Raw genomic sequence first — 16943 nt, forward strand, 5'->3', positions numbered from 1 at the left:
TACAACCGGCTAATTTTTTTAAATGTTGTGGAGGGATGGGGGTCTCTCTGTGTTGCCCAGGCTGGTCTTGAACTCCTGGTCTCAAGCAATCCCCCCATCTTGGCCTCTCAAAGTGCTGGAATTACAGCCATGAGACACCATGCCTGGCTAAATGTCTAAACCTTTTTAAATGCATTGCCAATTCGGCAAGAATGAAAAGAATTCAGAAAAGCCAAAACTTGGGTAATAACAGAAATCCTGGGAAGTAAGCAAGCACTAAAATCAGCTTTAAGTATACCTGCCCATGCCCTGGTGACCTGGAACTGTTATTTTGATGGCTACACAGGGACAGAGACACAAGAGATAGGCCTAGGGCCTCCCAAGGTGAAGATTCAGAGAGAAGTTCCCCATGCAAATATGGAACCTCAAAGAGTTAGACCATAAATGTAATGGTGAATAAGAAATTAGCCCTCTTTGCAGAGCAATTACGGCAAGAAGATATGCTTATTTTCCCATTTGTGCTAAAGGCCGAGGTGGGAGGAAGGGATCACAGAATTTCATCCTGATGCTTCATAATTACATCAGTTGACCCCTAGATAGTTATGGAACCTAATTAACTCTGTCTTTGTGATCTACAAAATGTGAGGCAAAGAATTAAATGTAAAGTGATCCTGGATTGGAATTGTTCTCAGATGGCTGACAGAAACCAACACAAATTCTCTCTGGAGGAACACAGCTTCTACTCAATTTACAGATAATCTCCATATATAATGTTCCAAGAAACATGAATATACAGTAAAAAAACCTAAAACTTATAAGAAAACAAATGATAAATGGGAATCTGAAGGAACAAGAGACAGAAGAATCAGACCTACAAAAATTTCAGATACAGGAATTATCACAGGCAGAATGTAAAATAATTATGTTTACTATATTTAAAGAAAAAAAGCGATTGAAAGTATAAGAACAAAAGACTTTTAAAATGACCAAAGGTTTTTTTAAAAAATTGTGAAGCAGAATCTCTAGAATTGAAAAACATAATTAAAATTTAAAACTCAATGAAGACTTTAAATAGCAGATTAGTCACATCCAAAGAGAGAATTATTAAACTAAAACAGTATATTCAGATAAGTTATCCTTGCATCTCATTTCTGGACTTCAGTTAAAAAAAAAGAAAAAAATAACAAATAAGTTATCCAGAAGACAGGACAGAGAGAGAATAGATGAAAAATATGAAAGAAGGGTTAGGAGCTAAAGTAAGACTATTTACTATATCTTTAATCAAAATTCCAGAAGGAGACACAAAGAGAATGAAGCAGAGGCATTAACTAAAGTTTTCTGTAATTATTGAAAGGTTCAAATATTCATATTCAGGGAGTCAAATGAATCTTAAGAAGAAAAAAAAACAAAGAATAACCACCTTAGGATATCGTAGTGATTCTGCGATACAAAATAGGCACATAACAAAAAATCAAAAGAAATTAGTGGGAAAACACGTATTACCCACAAAGAAAAGACAATTCAATTAATGACTGATTTCTCAAAAGGAACATTACAAACCAGAAAACAGTGGACTAAGATCTTCAATGTGTTTTGAAAATAGTTGTCAATATGGAATTTGTGCCTGGCAAAATTATCTTTCTAAAGAATGAGTACAAAATGAGAGCGTTTACCACCAACAGAAGTTCATTAAAGGAAATTTTAAGAACTTGGCTCAGACAGAAAAAAAAAAAATTGACGAATGATAGTCTGAGGGGCAAGAAGGAATGGTGAATGAAGACACTGGTAACTATGTGATAAATATTTTAAATGACTACAGGAAACAATAATGACACTGTCTGATTGTGGAATGTATGATTCATATAGAACTAGAATACTAGAAAATAATAGAATGTAAGCCAGGCGTGGCTGTAATCCCAAGATTTTGGGAGGCTGAGGCGGGCGGATCATTTGAAGTCAAGAGTTCAAGACAAGCTTGGCCAACATGGCGAAACCCCGTCTCTACTAAAAATACAAAAATTAGCTGGGTGCAGTGGCGCGTGCCTGTAATCCCAGCTACTCAGTAGGCTGAGGCAGGAGAATTGCTTGAACCCGGGAGGTGGAGGTTGCAGTGAGCCAAGATCATGCCACTGCACTCCAGCCTGGGAGAAAGAGTAAGACTCTGTCTCAAAAAAAAAAAAAAAAAAAACCAAAAAGAGAATAACAGAAATAAATGGGGAAAAGAGTAATCAAAATGTAAGCATTATAAGCCCCTTTTGTTTGTTTTTGTGGAGTAAGATAAATATAATAACTTGTGATATTGTTATGTATGCATGTTAAAATGTATAGGGTAACCATTGTTTTAAAAAATAGACATTCTGAGCCCGGGCTCAGTGGCTTATGCCTGTAATCCCAGCACTTTGAGAGGCTGAGGCAGGCAGATCACCTGAGGTCAGGAGCTCAAGACCAGCCTGGCCAACATGGTGATACCCCGTCTTTACTAAAAGTACAAAAAATTAGCCATGCATGGTGGTGCACACCTGTAATCCCAGCTACTCAGGAGGCTGAGGCAAGAGAATCGCTTGAACCTGGGAGGTGGAGGTTGCAGTGAGCCGAGATCGCGCCGCTGCACTCAGCCTGGGTGACAGAGCGGGACTCCGTCTCAAAAAAAAAAATAGACATACTGAGTGTAACGGCCAAACTGATAGATCAGGGAAAATGAAATAAAGAAAAAGAGTATTCATCTAAAAGAAAGAGTTTTTAAACAGCATGACACAAAGAAAGCACAAAATTATGTGATAAAAATCTAATTAAGGCTAGGAGCAGTGGCTCATGCCTATATTCCAGCACTTTGGGAGGCTGAGGTGGGAAGATCACTTAAGCTTAGGAGTTTGAGACTAGCCTGGGCAATGTGGCAAGACTCTGTCTCTACCAAAATTACAAAAAAAATAGCCGGGCATGGTGGTGCATGCCTGTGGTCCCAGCTACTCAGGAGGCTGAGGTGGGAGGATCTCTTGAGCAGGGGACTGGGGGAGGCTGCAGTGAGCTGAGATCACACCACTGCCCTGCAGCCTGAGTGGCAGAGCAAGACCCTGTCTCAAAAAGAAAAAAAAAATCTAATTAGGTCATTAATCACAATAAATAAATGGGTTAAATGCATCAAGTGAAAGAAAAAGGTTGTCATACGGAAGGAAAACCCCAGCTCTGTCCTGTTTACAAGGGACACACCAAATACTAATGGATATAGAGGCTACTGTTTCACATCCACTAGGATGGCTATAATAGTTTAAAAGAAAAAAATAAGTCTTGGTGGGAATGTGGAGAAATTTGAACCCTCATACATTACTGGTGGGAATGTAAAATGGCGCAGCCTCTTTGGAAACAGTTGGCAACTCCTCAAAAAGAGATAGGATATCATATACCCAGCTATTCCATTCCTAAGCATATACCCAAGAGAATTAAAAACATATGTTCACATACAGGCCAGGCACAGTGGCTCATGCCTGTAATCCCAGCACTTTGGGAGGCCAAGGCAGGAGGATCACTTGAGGTCAGGAGTCCAAGACCAGCCTGGCCAACATTGTGAAACCCCATCCCTACAAAAAATACAAAAAAATTAGCCAGGTGTGGTGGCACGCACCTGTAGTTCCAGCTACTTGAGGGGCTGAGGCAAGAGGATTGCTCGGGCCTGGGAGATCAAGGCTGTAGCAAGCTGTTTTTATGCAACTGCACTCTAGCCCCTGTGGCAAAGAGAGACCCTGTCTCAAAAAAATAAAAATAAAAACGTAGATTCGCATACAAAAAAACTGTGTATAACATGTTAAAAAACATGTTGACATATGTTATACATGAATGTTCATAGAAGCATTATTCATAATAGCCAAAAAGTAGAAACAACTCATGTGTCCATCAATTGATGAATGGTTAGAGCACAAAATGCGGTAAATCCATGCCATGGAATATTAGTCAGCCATAAATACAGAAGGAAAAAAACCCTACAAACTGGAAGGTGATATTAGCAAACTGTACAACCAATTAAGGACTATTACTGAGGATATATAAAGAACACGCCTGTAATCCCAGCACTATGGGAGGCCGAGGCAGGTGGATCACCTGAGGTCAGGAGTTCAAGACCAGTCTAGCCAACATAGTGAAACCCTGTCTCTACTAAAAATACAAAAAATTAGCTGGGTGTGGCGGTGTGTGCCTGCAATCCCACCTACTCAGGAGGCTGAGGCGGGAGAATCGTGTGAACCCAGGAGGCGGAGGTTGCAGTGAGCCGAGATCGCGCCATTGCACTCCAGCCTGGGCGACAGTGTGACACTCCATCTCAAAAAAAAAAAAAAAAAGAAAAGAAAAGAAAAAAAAGAACTAGGAGGCTGGATGCCGTGGCTCACACCTGTAATCCCAGCACTTTGGGAAGCCAAGGCAGGTGGATTGTTTGAGCTCAGGAATTCAAGAGCAGCCTGGGCAACAAGGTGAAACCCTGTCTCTACAAAAAAATACAGAAAAAATTAGCCGGGTGTGGTGGCACATGCCTGTAGCCTAGGCTACTTGGGAAGCTGAGGTGGGAGGCTCACTTGAGACTGGGAGGCAGAGGTTGCAGTGTGCTGAGACTGCTACTGCACTCCGGCCTGGGTGACAGAGTGAGACCTCATCTGAAAAAAAAATTGACAAATGGGATCTAATTAAACTAAAGAGCTTCTGCACAGCAAAAGATACTACCATCAGAGTGAACAGGCAACCTACAGAATGGGAGAAAATTTTCGCAACCTACTCATCTGACAAAGGGCTAATATCCAGAATCTACAACGAACTCAAACAAATTTACAAGAAAAAAACAAACAACCATCAAAAAGTGGGCGAAGGATATGAACAGACACTTCTCAAAAGAAGACATTTATGCAGCCAAAAGACACATGAAAAAATGCTCATCATCACTGGCCATCAGAGAAACACAAATCAAAACTGCAATGAGATACCATCTCACACCAGTTAGAATTGCGATCATTAAAAAGGAAACAACAGGTGCTGGAGAGGATGTGGAGAAATAGGAACACTTTTACACTGTTGGTGGGACTATAAACTAGTTCAACCATTGTGGAAGTCAGTGTGGCAATTCCTCAGGGATCTAGAACTAGAAATACCATTTGACCCAGCCATCCCATTGCTGGGTATATACCCAAAGGATTATAGGCCGGGCGCGGTGGCTCACGCCTGTAATCCCAGCACTTTGGGAGGCCGAGGCGGGTGGATCACGAGGTCAGGAGATTGAGACCATCCTGGCTAACACGGTGAAACCCCTCTCTACTAAAAACACAAAAAATTAGCCAGGCATGGTGCGGGCGTCTGTAGTCCCAGCTACTCGGGAGGCTGAGGCAGGAGAATGGCGTGAACCCGGGAGGCGGAGCTTGTAGTGAGCCGAGATGGCGCCACTGCACTCCAGCCTCGGAGAGAAAGCAAGTCTCCGTCTCAAAAAAAAAAAAGGTGTAAATCATGCTGCTATAAAGACACATGCACAGGTATGTTTATAGCGGCACTATTCACAATAGCAAAGACTTAGAACCAACCCAAATGTCCAACAATGACAGACTGGATTAAGAAAATGTGGCACATATACACCATGGAATACTGTGCAGCCATAAAAAATGATGAGTTCATGTCCCTTGTAGGGACATGGATGAAGCTGGAAACCATCATTCTCAGCAAACTATCGCAAGGACAAAAAACCAAACACCGCATGTTCTCACTCATAGATGGGAACTGAACAATGAGAACACTTGGACACAGGAAGGGGAACATCACACACCGGGGCCAGTCGTGGGGTGGGGAGAGGGGGGAGGGATAGCATTAGGAGATATACCTAATGTTAAAAGACAAGTTAATGGGTGCAGCACACCAACATGGCACATGTATACATATGTAACAAACCTGCACGTTGTGCACATGTACCCTAAAACTTAAAGTATAATAAAAAAATAAAACAAAAAAAAGAAAAAAACATTTGAATAGGCTCTTAACAAAAGAAGTAATCTAAATAACCAATAAACATATGAAAAGATGTTCACTTCATTAGAAATCAGAGAAATTCAAACTAAAACCTCCAATATTTGCCACAGGATTGACAAAAATTAAGAAATAACAAACCTAGTTCATCAAGAATGCAGAAAAACAGGAACTCTCATCCACCACTGGTGAAACTATAAATAGGGACAACCACATTGGAAATTATTTGGCATGTCCTATAAAGTTGAATATGTGTGCACCCTCAATCCCAACAATTCTTCTACTTTGTACATATCCTAGGGAAACTCCTGCACATGTGCATCAGGAGACATCTACAACAATGTTTGTAGAAGCATTCACATAAATGGAAAAAAACAATCCTGATGTGGCACCACCATAGAACGGATTAATAAATAATGATACACTAATGCAATGGAATACCATGCAGCAGTGAAAATCAACTCAGCAGCATGCGTCAACATGGAAGACTCTTACAAACACAATGTTGAACCAATTAAGCAAGACACAGAAGAGTTCACATACTATAATCCCACTAGTATAAAATTCAAATGCCCACAGAACTAAATAAGTCACTGTTTAAGGATCCAAAGTGGTGAGTAAGGAACAGTTATAGATACGCATTCAGGATAGTGGTGACCCATCGGGATGTAGACTGGGGAATAAAGGGGGTGGGACCTAGCGGGAGCACATGGGGTTACTGCAGGAAAATGGTAATCTCTCATTCTTGAGCCAGGGGGAGTGGTACGTCTTTGTATTATTGTTAATGCTTTATGCTGTTCACATACGTTTACAAATATTCCTGTTACGTATTATTTAGTAACAATTTTTTTCTTCAAAAAGAAGATGAATAAGCTAATTCTCATTTAGAAGGAAGAAAGTGGGAGGGAGGAAAAAAGGAAGGAGAGGAAGGACTGGGCGCGGTGGCTCACGCCTGTAATCCCAGCACTTTGGGAGTCCGATGCGGGCAGATCACAAGGTCAGGAGATCGAGACCATCCTGGCTAACACAGTGAAACCCCGTCTCTACTAAAAATACAAAAAATTAGCCGGGCGTGGTGGCGGGCGCCTGTAGTTCCAGCTACTCGGGAGGCTGAGGCGGGAGAATGGCATGAACCCAGGAGGCGGAGCTTGCAGTGAGCCAAGACTGGGCTACTGAACTCCAGCCTGGGCGACAGAGTGAGACTCCATTTCAAAAAAAAAAAAAAAAAGGAAGGAGAGGAAGAAGGGGAGAAGAGTGCATAAGTTGGAATCTAGATGTTTGTTGGTATCCAGCAAAGAAGAGAGTAATGGGAGCAATAACAACAATTGGAAAGGTAGCCAGGAGAGGTGGCTCACACCTGTAATCCCAGTACTTCGGGAGGCCAAGGCAGGTGGATCAATCACTTGAGGTCAGGAGTTCAAGACCAGCCTGGCCAATATGGCAAAACCCCATCTCTACTAAAAACAAAAATACAAAAATATTAGCCAGGCATGGTGGCTCACATCTGTAATCCCAGCTACTTGGGATGCTGAGGCATGAGAATTGCTTGAACCTGGGAGGTGGAGGTTGCAGTGAACCAGATCAGGCCACTGCACTCCAGCCTGGGAGACACAGCAAGACTCCATCCAAAAAAAAAAAAAAAAAAAAAATGGAAGGGCCCCTCAGAGGAGGTGGGGTCTGGAGCTGGGCCTTAAGAGTTGACTGGATGTGAGAGAGTGATGAGATGAACAGGAAATAAAAGCAGTCCTAGTGAGAGAAAGATGAGCAAAGACAATATGGAGGGATAAGCATGGGAAAATCCAGCAGGCAAATAGCGGGTCTCTGACTGAGACGCAGCTCAGGGACAGTGAGGAGGCCTGTGGTTTCAGGGGGAGCCCAGGGTGAAGGACAGCAACACACAGATCGCTCAGCCCCATCGGGAGAACGCTGAAAGCCAGAATACTCAGTGAGGCTGCCTGCGAGGAGCCCCAGCTTGTGGTGACCAGTGTCCCCTCTGAGGAGTGAGAGGGAGACCCTGACCCCACAGGGGTGCTAGAGCCACCTGAGTTCCTTAGCTGTCTTGGGAATCCAAGTCTCACCTTCCTACTCTATCAGAAATACCCTGTGGTGAAAAGAGAAGGCCCCACTCTTCATCTGCTGCAGCTTAATTCTGTGGAATCTAGACTTCCCTGTGAATAAAGAGAATGCAGGCTTCCTACCACCCTCTCCCCTGCTGTGATTCTGCACCTGCCCTGAGATTTCCCTGGAGCTCCCCTCCCTGTGGAATGAGGTGAAAAACCCTGAAAACCATATGCCCAGAGGCCCCGTTAGAGTGCACAGTGGCTTCGGGATGCGGCTGTGTCCCGAGAGGGATCTCTTGCTGAGAGCCTATGAGGCCGGGTCACTCATATGGGGTGCTGCTCAGGATGGGCCCCAGTGTCACATCTGGGTAAGTGGAACAAGTCAATCATGGTGGGTTCTGTGTAAACTCCCCCCCCCAACCCCGCTTCTTACATATTTAGGGGCAATGAAAGCTTTCAGTGGTAGACTAGGAGATACGTATATATATATAGTCATAAATATTGTTATTCTCTCTGCATAGAAGGCTCAAATGCCAGGTTTTTATATAATTGGGCCCTTCTTGTTATTCAGATCTCAGCTGAACATTTACCTTATGAGAAAGACCTTCCCTCACCACTCCATAGAAATTAGCCTCTGGTCACTGTCTGTCACAGCTCTCTGTTGTAGGTGCTGGTCATAGCACTCATCACTCTACAATGTTCAAGACAGTAGGACATTGTCTATTTTGTCGCTGTTCTATCTGAAGTGATTAGAACAGTGCCTAGCATATAGGTGGTACTTGATGAATACATTAATAATGTGTATGAGTGTAAAAGGAGAGAGATGAAAAGGGAGAGTAAGAGGAAGAAGGAAGGGAGGCAGAGAAGGAGGGAGGGAGAGAAGGAGGGAGGGAGGCATCCTAGCTGGAGTCTCAGCTGTATCTATCACTGGGATTCACAGATATATGAGCATGCCTGACAGACTGTTAGGTGGACCCATCAGAAATGTATTTTTATGAGAAACTAAGGCATCTCCTGGAAAAAAAAAAACAAAAAACAAAAAAACCAGATCCTGAAGTAAAAGGAAGTAGAGAAGTAAAATTGGTCCCAGTCACAAAGCCTAGGTCATGGGAGACGAGCTTAAATGTGATGTAAGCCCAGAATCACATTTGTCAGTTTCGGTCTCCTTGAACTCATGGAGAATGGATGTGGCTACAAGTAAAACCTGAAATACGTATTCAATATAAATTCTATGACGCACTGAACACAAACAGCTCTTCTTTTGTACTGTATGTAAAATGTAACATGGAAGAGGGAGGGGGAGGTGAGAGTCATTCTGGTGCAGGGAGCAGAGTCGTCTTGGCAGGGCTCCCTGGGCCCCTGAGGACTCTAGCATAACCAAGGCAATGGTGCTGGCAAGAGACAGCGTCATCCCATAGCGGTAACAGTGCCCAGGGGCCAGCACTTGGCTGCACGAGCAGTAGAGGCAGAAGCAGGAAATAGCACCAAAGGGTGCTAGAGTGGAGAATGAGGAACATGGAGAAGCAGTACAGACTTAAGAGCTCCTTCCCTGGGACATCCTAGAAATAACTGGGGAAATTTGGACGGAGAAGTCTATGGGATGCACATGTACTTTTCATATGGAAGCAAGAACCTGGCAAGCTATGCTTATTAATTTTTGCCCATTTTACCTCCAGTATGAAAATATAGGGGTTTGAGACATGAAAGTGAGGAAGACAGGTATATGCAAAAAAAAAAAAAAAAAAAAATCCTAATAATGCTAGAAAAAAAAAGAAACAATTTTAAATATCAATGTTGTTTTTTTAATAAAAAAAAAAAAAGAAAGAAACTCCGCATTAGAGAGTTTTACCCAGAAATGCTGAGATGCAACCACATACCTACTTTACAATTTCCTTCACAAACACGCCACCTTGGAGATCCCATTCTGAGGGATCTGAATAATGAGATTCTTCAACCAAAAGCCACTTGTAAACTACAAAAATCCTCGGAGAGATTCACCAATGCCCCAGGCCTTCTGGAGGCATTTAACTAGCCATCTGGAGGATTCTCCTGTCTCTAGACAATTATTTCACAGCAAGGAAGAAAAAATTGCCTGAGGTCTTCAACCACAGCCAAATTCACTGGAGTCAATAAATGTGTCAGATGGACTACGTAGCTGCCACAGTCCGCTGGGAACAAAACTTTACTCTTGAAAGGACTGCACTTTTCCTATGCCAGATAGCATGTAGATGTGAACAAAAATATATATTCCAGAGCCAGAGTTCTTTTTTCAGGACTTTTTTCAGTTTCACCTCTGAAACTGACTTGCTCAATATTTATTGGTAATATTAGACTTTTACTATGAGAGAGAAATTAAGAAAAAAAGCTGACTAGAGATTCATTATATTTCAAAACAAATACACATTCCAACCCATTCATCAAACTATTTAAGCCTTTTAACTAAGTAAACATTTGTATCTATTTCATAAAGATGGTCTCAAAATTGATTTTAAATTGCTTCACCGAAAATGTCATTATACTTCAAAAAAGACTGGTTGTGTTGTTTTATTTTTACGTGATACTCAAAACCTGATTTTGAATCTTGGTTTCATCACTTAAGCTGTATCACCAATAGAAAAGTTACTTAATTTTTGTAAGCCTTAGTGTCCTTATCCATAAAACTGGCATATAGGATTAAAAGAATGTATAGAGCATAGGCCGGGCACAATGACTTACACCTGTAATCCCAGCACTTTGGGAGGCCGAGGGGGGTGGATCACCTGAGGTCAGGAGTTCGAGACCAGCCTGGCCAGTATGGTGAAACCCCGTTTCTCCTAAAAATACAAAAAATCAGCCAGGCATGGTGGCAGGTGCCTGTAATCCCAGCTACTCAGGAGGCTGAGGCAGGAGAATTGCTTGAACCCGGGAGGCGGAGGTTGCAGTGAGCCGAGATCATGCCACAGCACTCTGGCCTGGGTAAAAAGAGCAAAATTCCATCTCAGAAAAAAGGTGTACTGCTTAGAGAAGTGCCCAGCACATTGTATGCACCAAAAAGTGTTATCTCTTATTTTTTAAGGTAAATCTTTCTTCTTTCTTGTCCAAATAGTATGGTAAATTCTAAATATTATGTAAACAGAAATTGACCAGACCCAGTAAAAATACAGCAGAGCAGGAAGAAAAAGGACCCTGCCTGGAGTTTAGTCAGTGCCTCACTACCTGAAATAGGCACTGTGGGTGCTCTGTCCAGATCCACTGGCTTCCATTCGGCACTTGTGTGTGTTTCCCCTCCCGCTTCTGTGTGCCATGCCCGTGACTCTTCTTTGCATACTGTCTTCAGACTACTGGAGCAGCATCATCCAAACTGGCAGAGAGCAGAGAGTGTCTGATGATTTCTCTCCCTCCCCACCACTCTCCCTACCACCACCCCACTCCTACCTCTGTCCCTTCTGCTGGGACCGACTATTGTGAGAGTATGAAAGCCCAGCACCCTTGCTTTAGGTCAGACTAATTTGGAGGCATGATATATACTTCAGAGCTCCCATGTGGAATAAAGTTGAAGCTGCACTCGGTGGGATGTTGCCTTACCTGATGTCCTACCAATTACTCAGGAAACACTTGCAGAATAAATCACTGTGTACAAATCCTTGCCTCAAGATCTGCTTCTGGGAAACTCAACCCAAGACCCACAAGTGAAATTACTCAAAGAAAAGTTTCAATATTACATCTACTTTCAGCTGTCCTGCAGGCATATAAATTCAGCCTAGCAGCTTCTAATTCCTCCCACTGAGGCAGAAATCATTTTAAAAACCAACCTTGCTACAGGGCACAGTGGTGCATTCCTGTAGTCTCAGCTACCTGAAGCTGAGGTGGGAGGATTGCTTGAGCCCAGGAGTTCAAGGCTGCAGTGAGCTATGAGTGTGCCACTGCACTCCAGCCTGGGCAACAAAGGAGACCCTGTCTCATTTGGAAAAAAAAAAAAAAAAAAAAAGGCCAATCTAGCCATATGCAGAAAGCTGAAACTGGATCCCTTCCTTACACCATACACAAAAATTAACTCAAGATGGATTAAAGACTTAAAGGTAAGATCTAAAACCATAAAAACCCTAGAAGAAAACCTAGGCAATACCATTCAGGACATAGGCATGGGCAAAGACTTCATGACTAAAAAACCAAAAGCAATGGCAACAAAAGCCAAAATAGAAATCTAATTCAACTAAAAAGCTTCTGCACAGCAAAAGAAGCTATCATCAGAGTGAACAGGCAACCTACAGAATGCGAGAAAATTTTTGCAATCTATCCATCTGACAAAGGGCTAATATCCAGAATCTACAGAAAACTTAAACAAATTTACAAGAAAAAAAACAAACAACCCCATCAAAAAGTGGGCAAAGGATATGAACAGACACTTCTCAAAAAAAGACATTTATACAGCCAACAGACATATGAAAAAATGCTGATCATCACTGGTCATCAGAGAAATGCAAATCAAAACCACAGTGAGATACCATCTCATGCCAGTTAGAATGGCAATCATTAAAAAGTCAGGAACAACAGATGCTGGAGAGGATGTGGAGAAATAGGAATGCTTTTACACTGTTGGTGGAAGTGTAAATTAGTTCAACCATTGTGGAAGACAGCGTGGTGATTCCTCAAAGATCTAGAACTAGAAATACCATTTGACCCAGCGATCCCATTACTGGGTATATACCCAAAGGATTATAAATCATGTTACTATAAAGACACATGTACACGAATGTTTATTGGGCCACTATTCACAATAGCAAAGACTTGGAACCAACCCAAATGTCCATCAGTGATAGACTGGATAAAGGAAATGTGGCACATATACACCATGGAATACTATGCAGCCATAAAAAATGATGAGTTCATGTCCTTTGCAGAGACATGGATAAAGCTGGAAACCATCATTCTCAGCAAAATATAACAAGGACAAAAAACCAAACACCGCATGTTCTCACTCATAAGTAGGAGTTGAACAACGAGAACACATGGACACAGGGAAGGGACCATCACACACTGGGGCCTGTTGGGGGGTGGGGGGCTGGGGGAGGGATAGCATTAGGAGAAATACCTAATGTAAATGATGGGTTGATGGGTGCAGCAAACCAACATGGCACATGTATACCTATGTAACAAACCTGCACATTGTGCACGTGTATCCTAGAACTTAAAGTATAATAATAATAATAAAAGTCAACCAAGGTTAGGATGTCAACATATGAATGTTGTGGGGAGACACAAATTAGCCTATAATATCCATTATTTGTAATGCCAGAAGTACCATTTCTAACCAATCACCACCCCCCTTTATTTTGCATATTGTTTGTTCTAAAAAGTGCCTGGTTTACATATATTAGTTATGCCCATTTACTTCCTTTCTTTGAAAGTGGATAGACCCACAGGTCTTAAAGTGGACTGAAGATGAAGAAAGCAAGTGGCGAATGAAGAAATGTCTAAACATCAAAGTATCAAGGAAGGAGATTTTACGAGAGAGTTCCGTTGCATGAGCTACCAGAGAAGGATGTGGCAGGAGTTGGCACTACAATGATCATCAACTCATTCACCCTTTGATGTGTTTCAGTGTATCTATTGGCAATATACATAATTTTTATCATAGATTTGTTCTTATACATGCTAGTTTCTGGAAGCTGAAGAATAAAGTAATACACTATAGTTACAGAAAATCAGAACCCCCGGGAGAATTGATCAATTATGAGGAGTGAGGACCAAACCAAAGAGATGGGCTTTGGCTTATTTTTGCCTCAGCTTTATTAAGGTATAATTGACAAATAAAAATTGTAGTCCGAGTGCAGTAGCTCATACCTGTAATCCCAGAACTGTGGGAGGCCCAGGGCTTGAGCCCAGGAATTCAAGACCAGCTTGGACAACACAGTGGGAACCCATCTCTACAAAAATTAAAAAACTAACCAGGTGTGGTGGTGTGGGCCTATAGTCCCAAGCTACTTGGGAGGCTGAGGTGGGAGGATCACTTGAGTCCAAGGTTGAGGCTTTAGCGAGCCATGATCACACCACTGCACTGCAGCCTGGGTGACAGAGTGAAGTCTTGTCTCAAGAAAAAAAAAAAAAAGAATTAGAAAAACACGTTAAAAAATTGTATGCATTTAAGGTATACAACATGATGATATGATATACATATACATTATGAAATAAGCACAATCAAGTTAATTAGCACATCTCTCATTTCACATAATTAGCATTTGTATGTGTGGTGAGAACACTTAATGTCTATTGTCTTAGCAAATTTCAAGTAGTATATCAGATAATATTATTAACCATAGTCACCACAATGTACCTTAGATCCCCAGAACTCACTCATCTGTTAACTGAAAAAGCCAGACACAGTGAGATCAATACTGTAAGATCTCCCTCATATGTAGAATCTTTAAAAAGAGAGAGGAGAGATAGAGAGACAGAGACAGAGACAGAGATTGGTTTTTTAAATGATTTCTGCCTCAGCGGCAGGCTTAAGATGCTGCTAAGCTGGCCTGGCTGCAGAACAGCAGAAGTAGACGCACTATTAAAACTTTTCTTTGAGTAATTCTAATTGCGGCACAATTTACTCTCTTACCAGGAGTTTGTTGTGATTCTTTACACAGATTCTTAGAGTCTTTACACAGAAAATATATTTAAAAGCGGGGTGCCATGGCTCATGCCTGTAATTCCAGCAGTTTGGGAGGCTGAGGCAGGAGCAACACTTCAGCTCAGGAGTTAGAGAGCAGCCTGGGCAACACAATAAGATCTCATCACTATTGGAAAAGAAAGGAAGGAAAGAAAGGAAGGAAGGAAGGAAGGAAGGAAGGAAGGAAGGAAGGAAGGAAGGAAGGAAGGAGAAATAAAAGAAAGAAAGAGATAAAGAAAAAAGAAAGAAAGAAGGAGAAAGAAAAGAGAGAAAGAGAAAGAAAGAAAGAAAGAAGAAGAAGGAAAGAAAGAAGGAAGGAAGGAAGGAAGGAAGGAAGGAAGGAAGGAAGGAAGGAAGGAAGGCAGGCAAGCTATTTAAATAAAGCAATTTCTCCTCCATGGTGATTTCACAGTCCAGCCATGGGGAGAAAAAACTTTCATAAAACTGGGCAAGCTAAGCTCAAAATCCTTTCAATACTCCAGGCAATTTTTCATGTCCTTCACTTACAATTAAATTATTTTTGTCACTCTCAATGGGAGCAAGACCCTCTAAGATTAGGAGTTAATAAAATTGTTGCTCATTTTCTTCTGCTTGACTCTACAGACTCCGGCAAATACCTCAGGAATGATATCAGGTGCTAGTTACTGCATCAAACTAAGTTTTGTTTTTCTGTTTCTCAGCTCTCAATTATTTATATGCATAATCACTAAGTAAACAGGTATAAAAATTTCATGTACATTAGTCAGAAGCAATGTTTAAAAAAATCAATAAAGCCAAAATATATTAGGCAGTCAATGCCTTTTTTCCCCCTAAAGAATTGAAGTCTATGATTTGGCTTGCTGCCCATACAAATTATTATCAGATTTCATTAAAGCAAAAATTTAAGTAGTGTACATCTGAGTTTGCTGGTTTTTTGTTGTTACTTTTGCTAAACTGTGCTAATCCTTCTGTAATTTAAGGTTTGAGCAATAGAACAATGAAATGAAACTGGATTCACCCTGTTTCAAATTTTCCAGGGGCTTCTTTCGTATTTTCACACTACTGACAGGCTAAATTTCTCCTCTGACCTTAATTCTACACAACCTCAGAACAAAGTATTCTTTTCTTTTTTTCTCTTCAAAAGACTCTCACTATCCTTTAATACCAACAATTGTGTTTAGATGGCCAAGTGTCTGACTCCATCTCATCAAAAGGCTGCTGCTGGTATAGTCCAGTTTGGACTATCAGTTTTTTAGTCAGTAACTTTCATGGATTTTTTTTTAGTTCATGGACAGTTACTGAGGTCAAACAGTACTATCTCTTACTACTCAGAGGTTTTTGTTTTATTATAGGGTAAAATGTCTTAAGTCACCGTGAATTATAATAGCAGACTCATGAAAGAAAACTACCCCCTAGGCTGGGCATGGTGGCTCATGCTTGTAATCCCAGCACTTTGGGAGGCCGAGGCAGTGGGATCACCTGAGGTCGGGAGTTGGAGACCAGCCTGACCAACATGGAGAAACCCCGTCTCTACTGAAAATACAAAATTACCTGGGCGTGGTGGCGCATGCCTGTAATTCCAGCTACTCAGGAGGCTAAGGCAGGAGAATTGCTTGAACCTGGAAGGCAGAGGTTGCGGTGAGCCAAGATGGCACCATTGCACTCCAGCCTGGGCAACAAGAGCGAAACTCTGTCTCAAAAAAAAAAAAAAAAAAGTAAGAAAACTACCCCCTGCTGCGAACAACTAAGAGAGAAGTTAACCATTACAAAGTAACAATTGTGCAGGAAATTATGTCACTGATACAGAAGTTACTGGTTAACTGGAGTCCAGTTTCTGGAATTAATGGAAAGGGCTACTTTAATGAACTATGATGTTCTGATGTCAAAGGTTGAAAATTTTAATTAAAAAATTTTGTATCAGTTGATAAGACTGTGAGCAGCAGAGGAGATAATATTATTAAGGATAGACATCCTAATATTTTCTACTCACATATATTGGGTTCCAGCTTACTCAAAAACTACAGAAGATTCAGTAATTGCCCAATATAGCATTTTTCAACCCCTCAGTTTGGGAATCTTTTTGATCATTTCCCAGTGACATTTTCAGATAATACAATGAAACCATACTGCATGTAGATTTTAAAAGCACATTTTGAAGCATCTTTATGAATAAAAAAGTTTTAAGAACATTTAACTTAAAAATGCAGTAAAATGTTACTCAGCACACCCTGAACCCTACCTAAATGTAATTTTTCAACCATGATCAACTCCATTTTAATCTGAGGGAGACAAATGGCAAA

General features: G+C 41.4%; 1 protein-coding gene across 1 annotated transcript in view; it reads right to left on the reverse strand.

Annotated features, from left to right (window-relative positions):
• The window catches only part of DCDC2 (doublecortin domain containing 2), a 211538-nt gene extending 195232 nt beyond the window's left edge, over positions 1 to 16306 (reverse strand). Inside the window, exon 1 of the mRNA NM_001195610.2 lies at positions 16195 to 16306. The gene's annotated coding sequence lies outside the window, so the exon portion shown is untranslated. The remainder of the gene's footprint in view (positions 1 to 16194) is intronic.

The sequence above is a fragment of the Homo sapiens genome, chromosome 6, assembly GCF_000001405.40.
Source record: "Homo sapiens chromosome 6, GRCh38.p14 Primary Assembly".
NCBI classification, from domain to species: domain Eukaryota; kingdom Metazoa; phylum Chordata; class Mammalia; order Primates; family Hominidae; genus Homo; species Homo sapiens.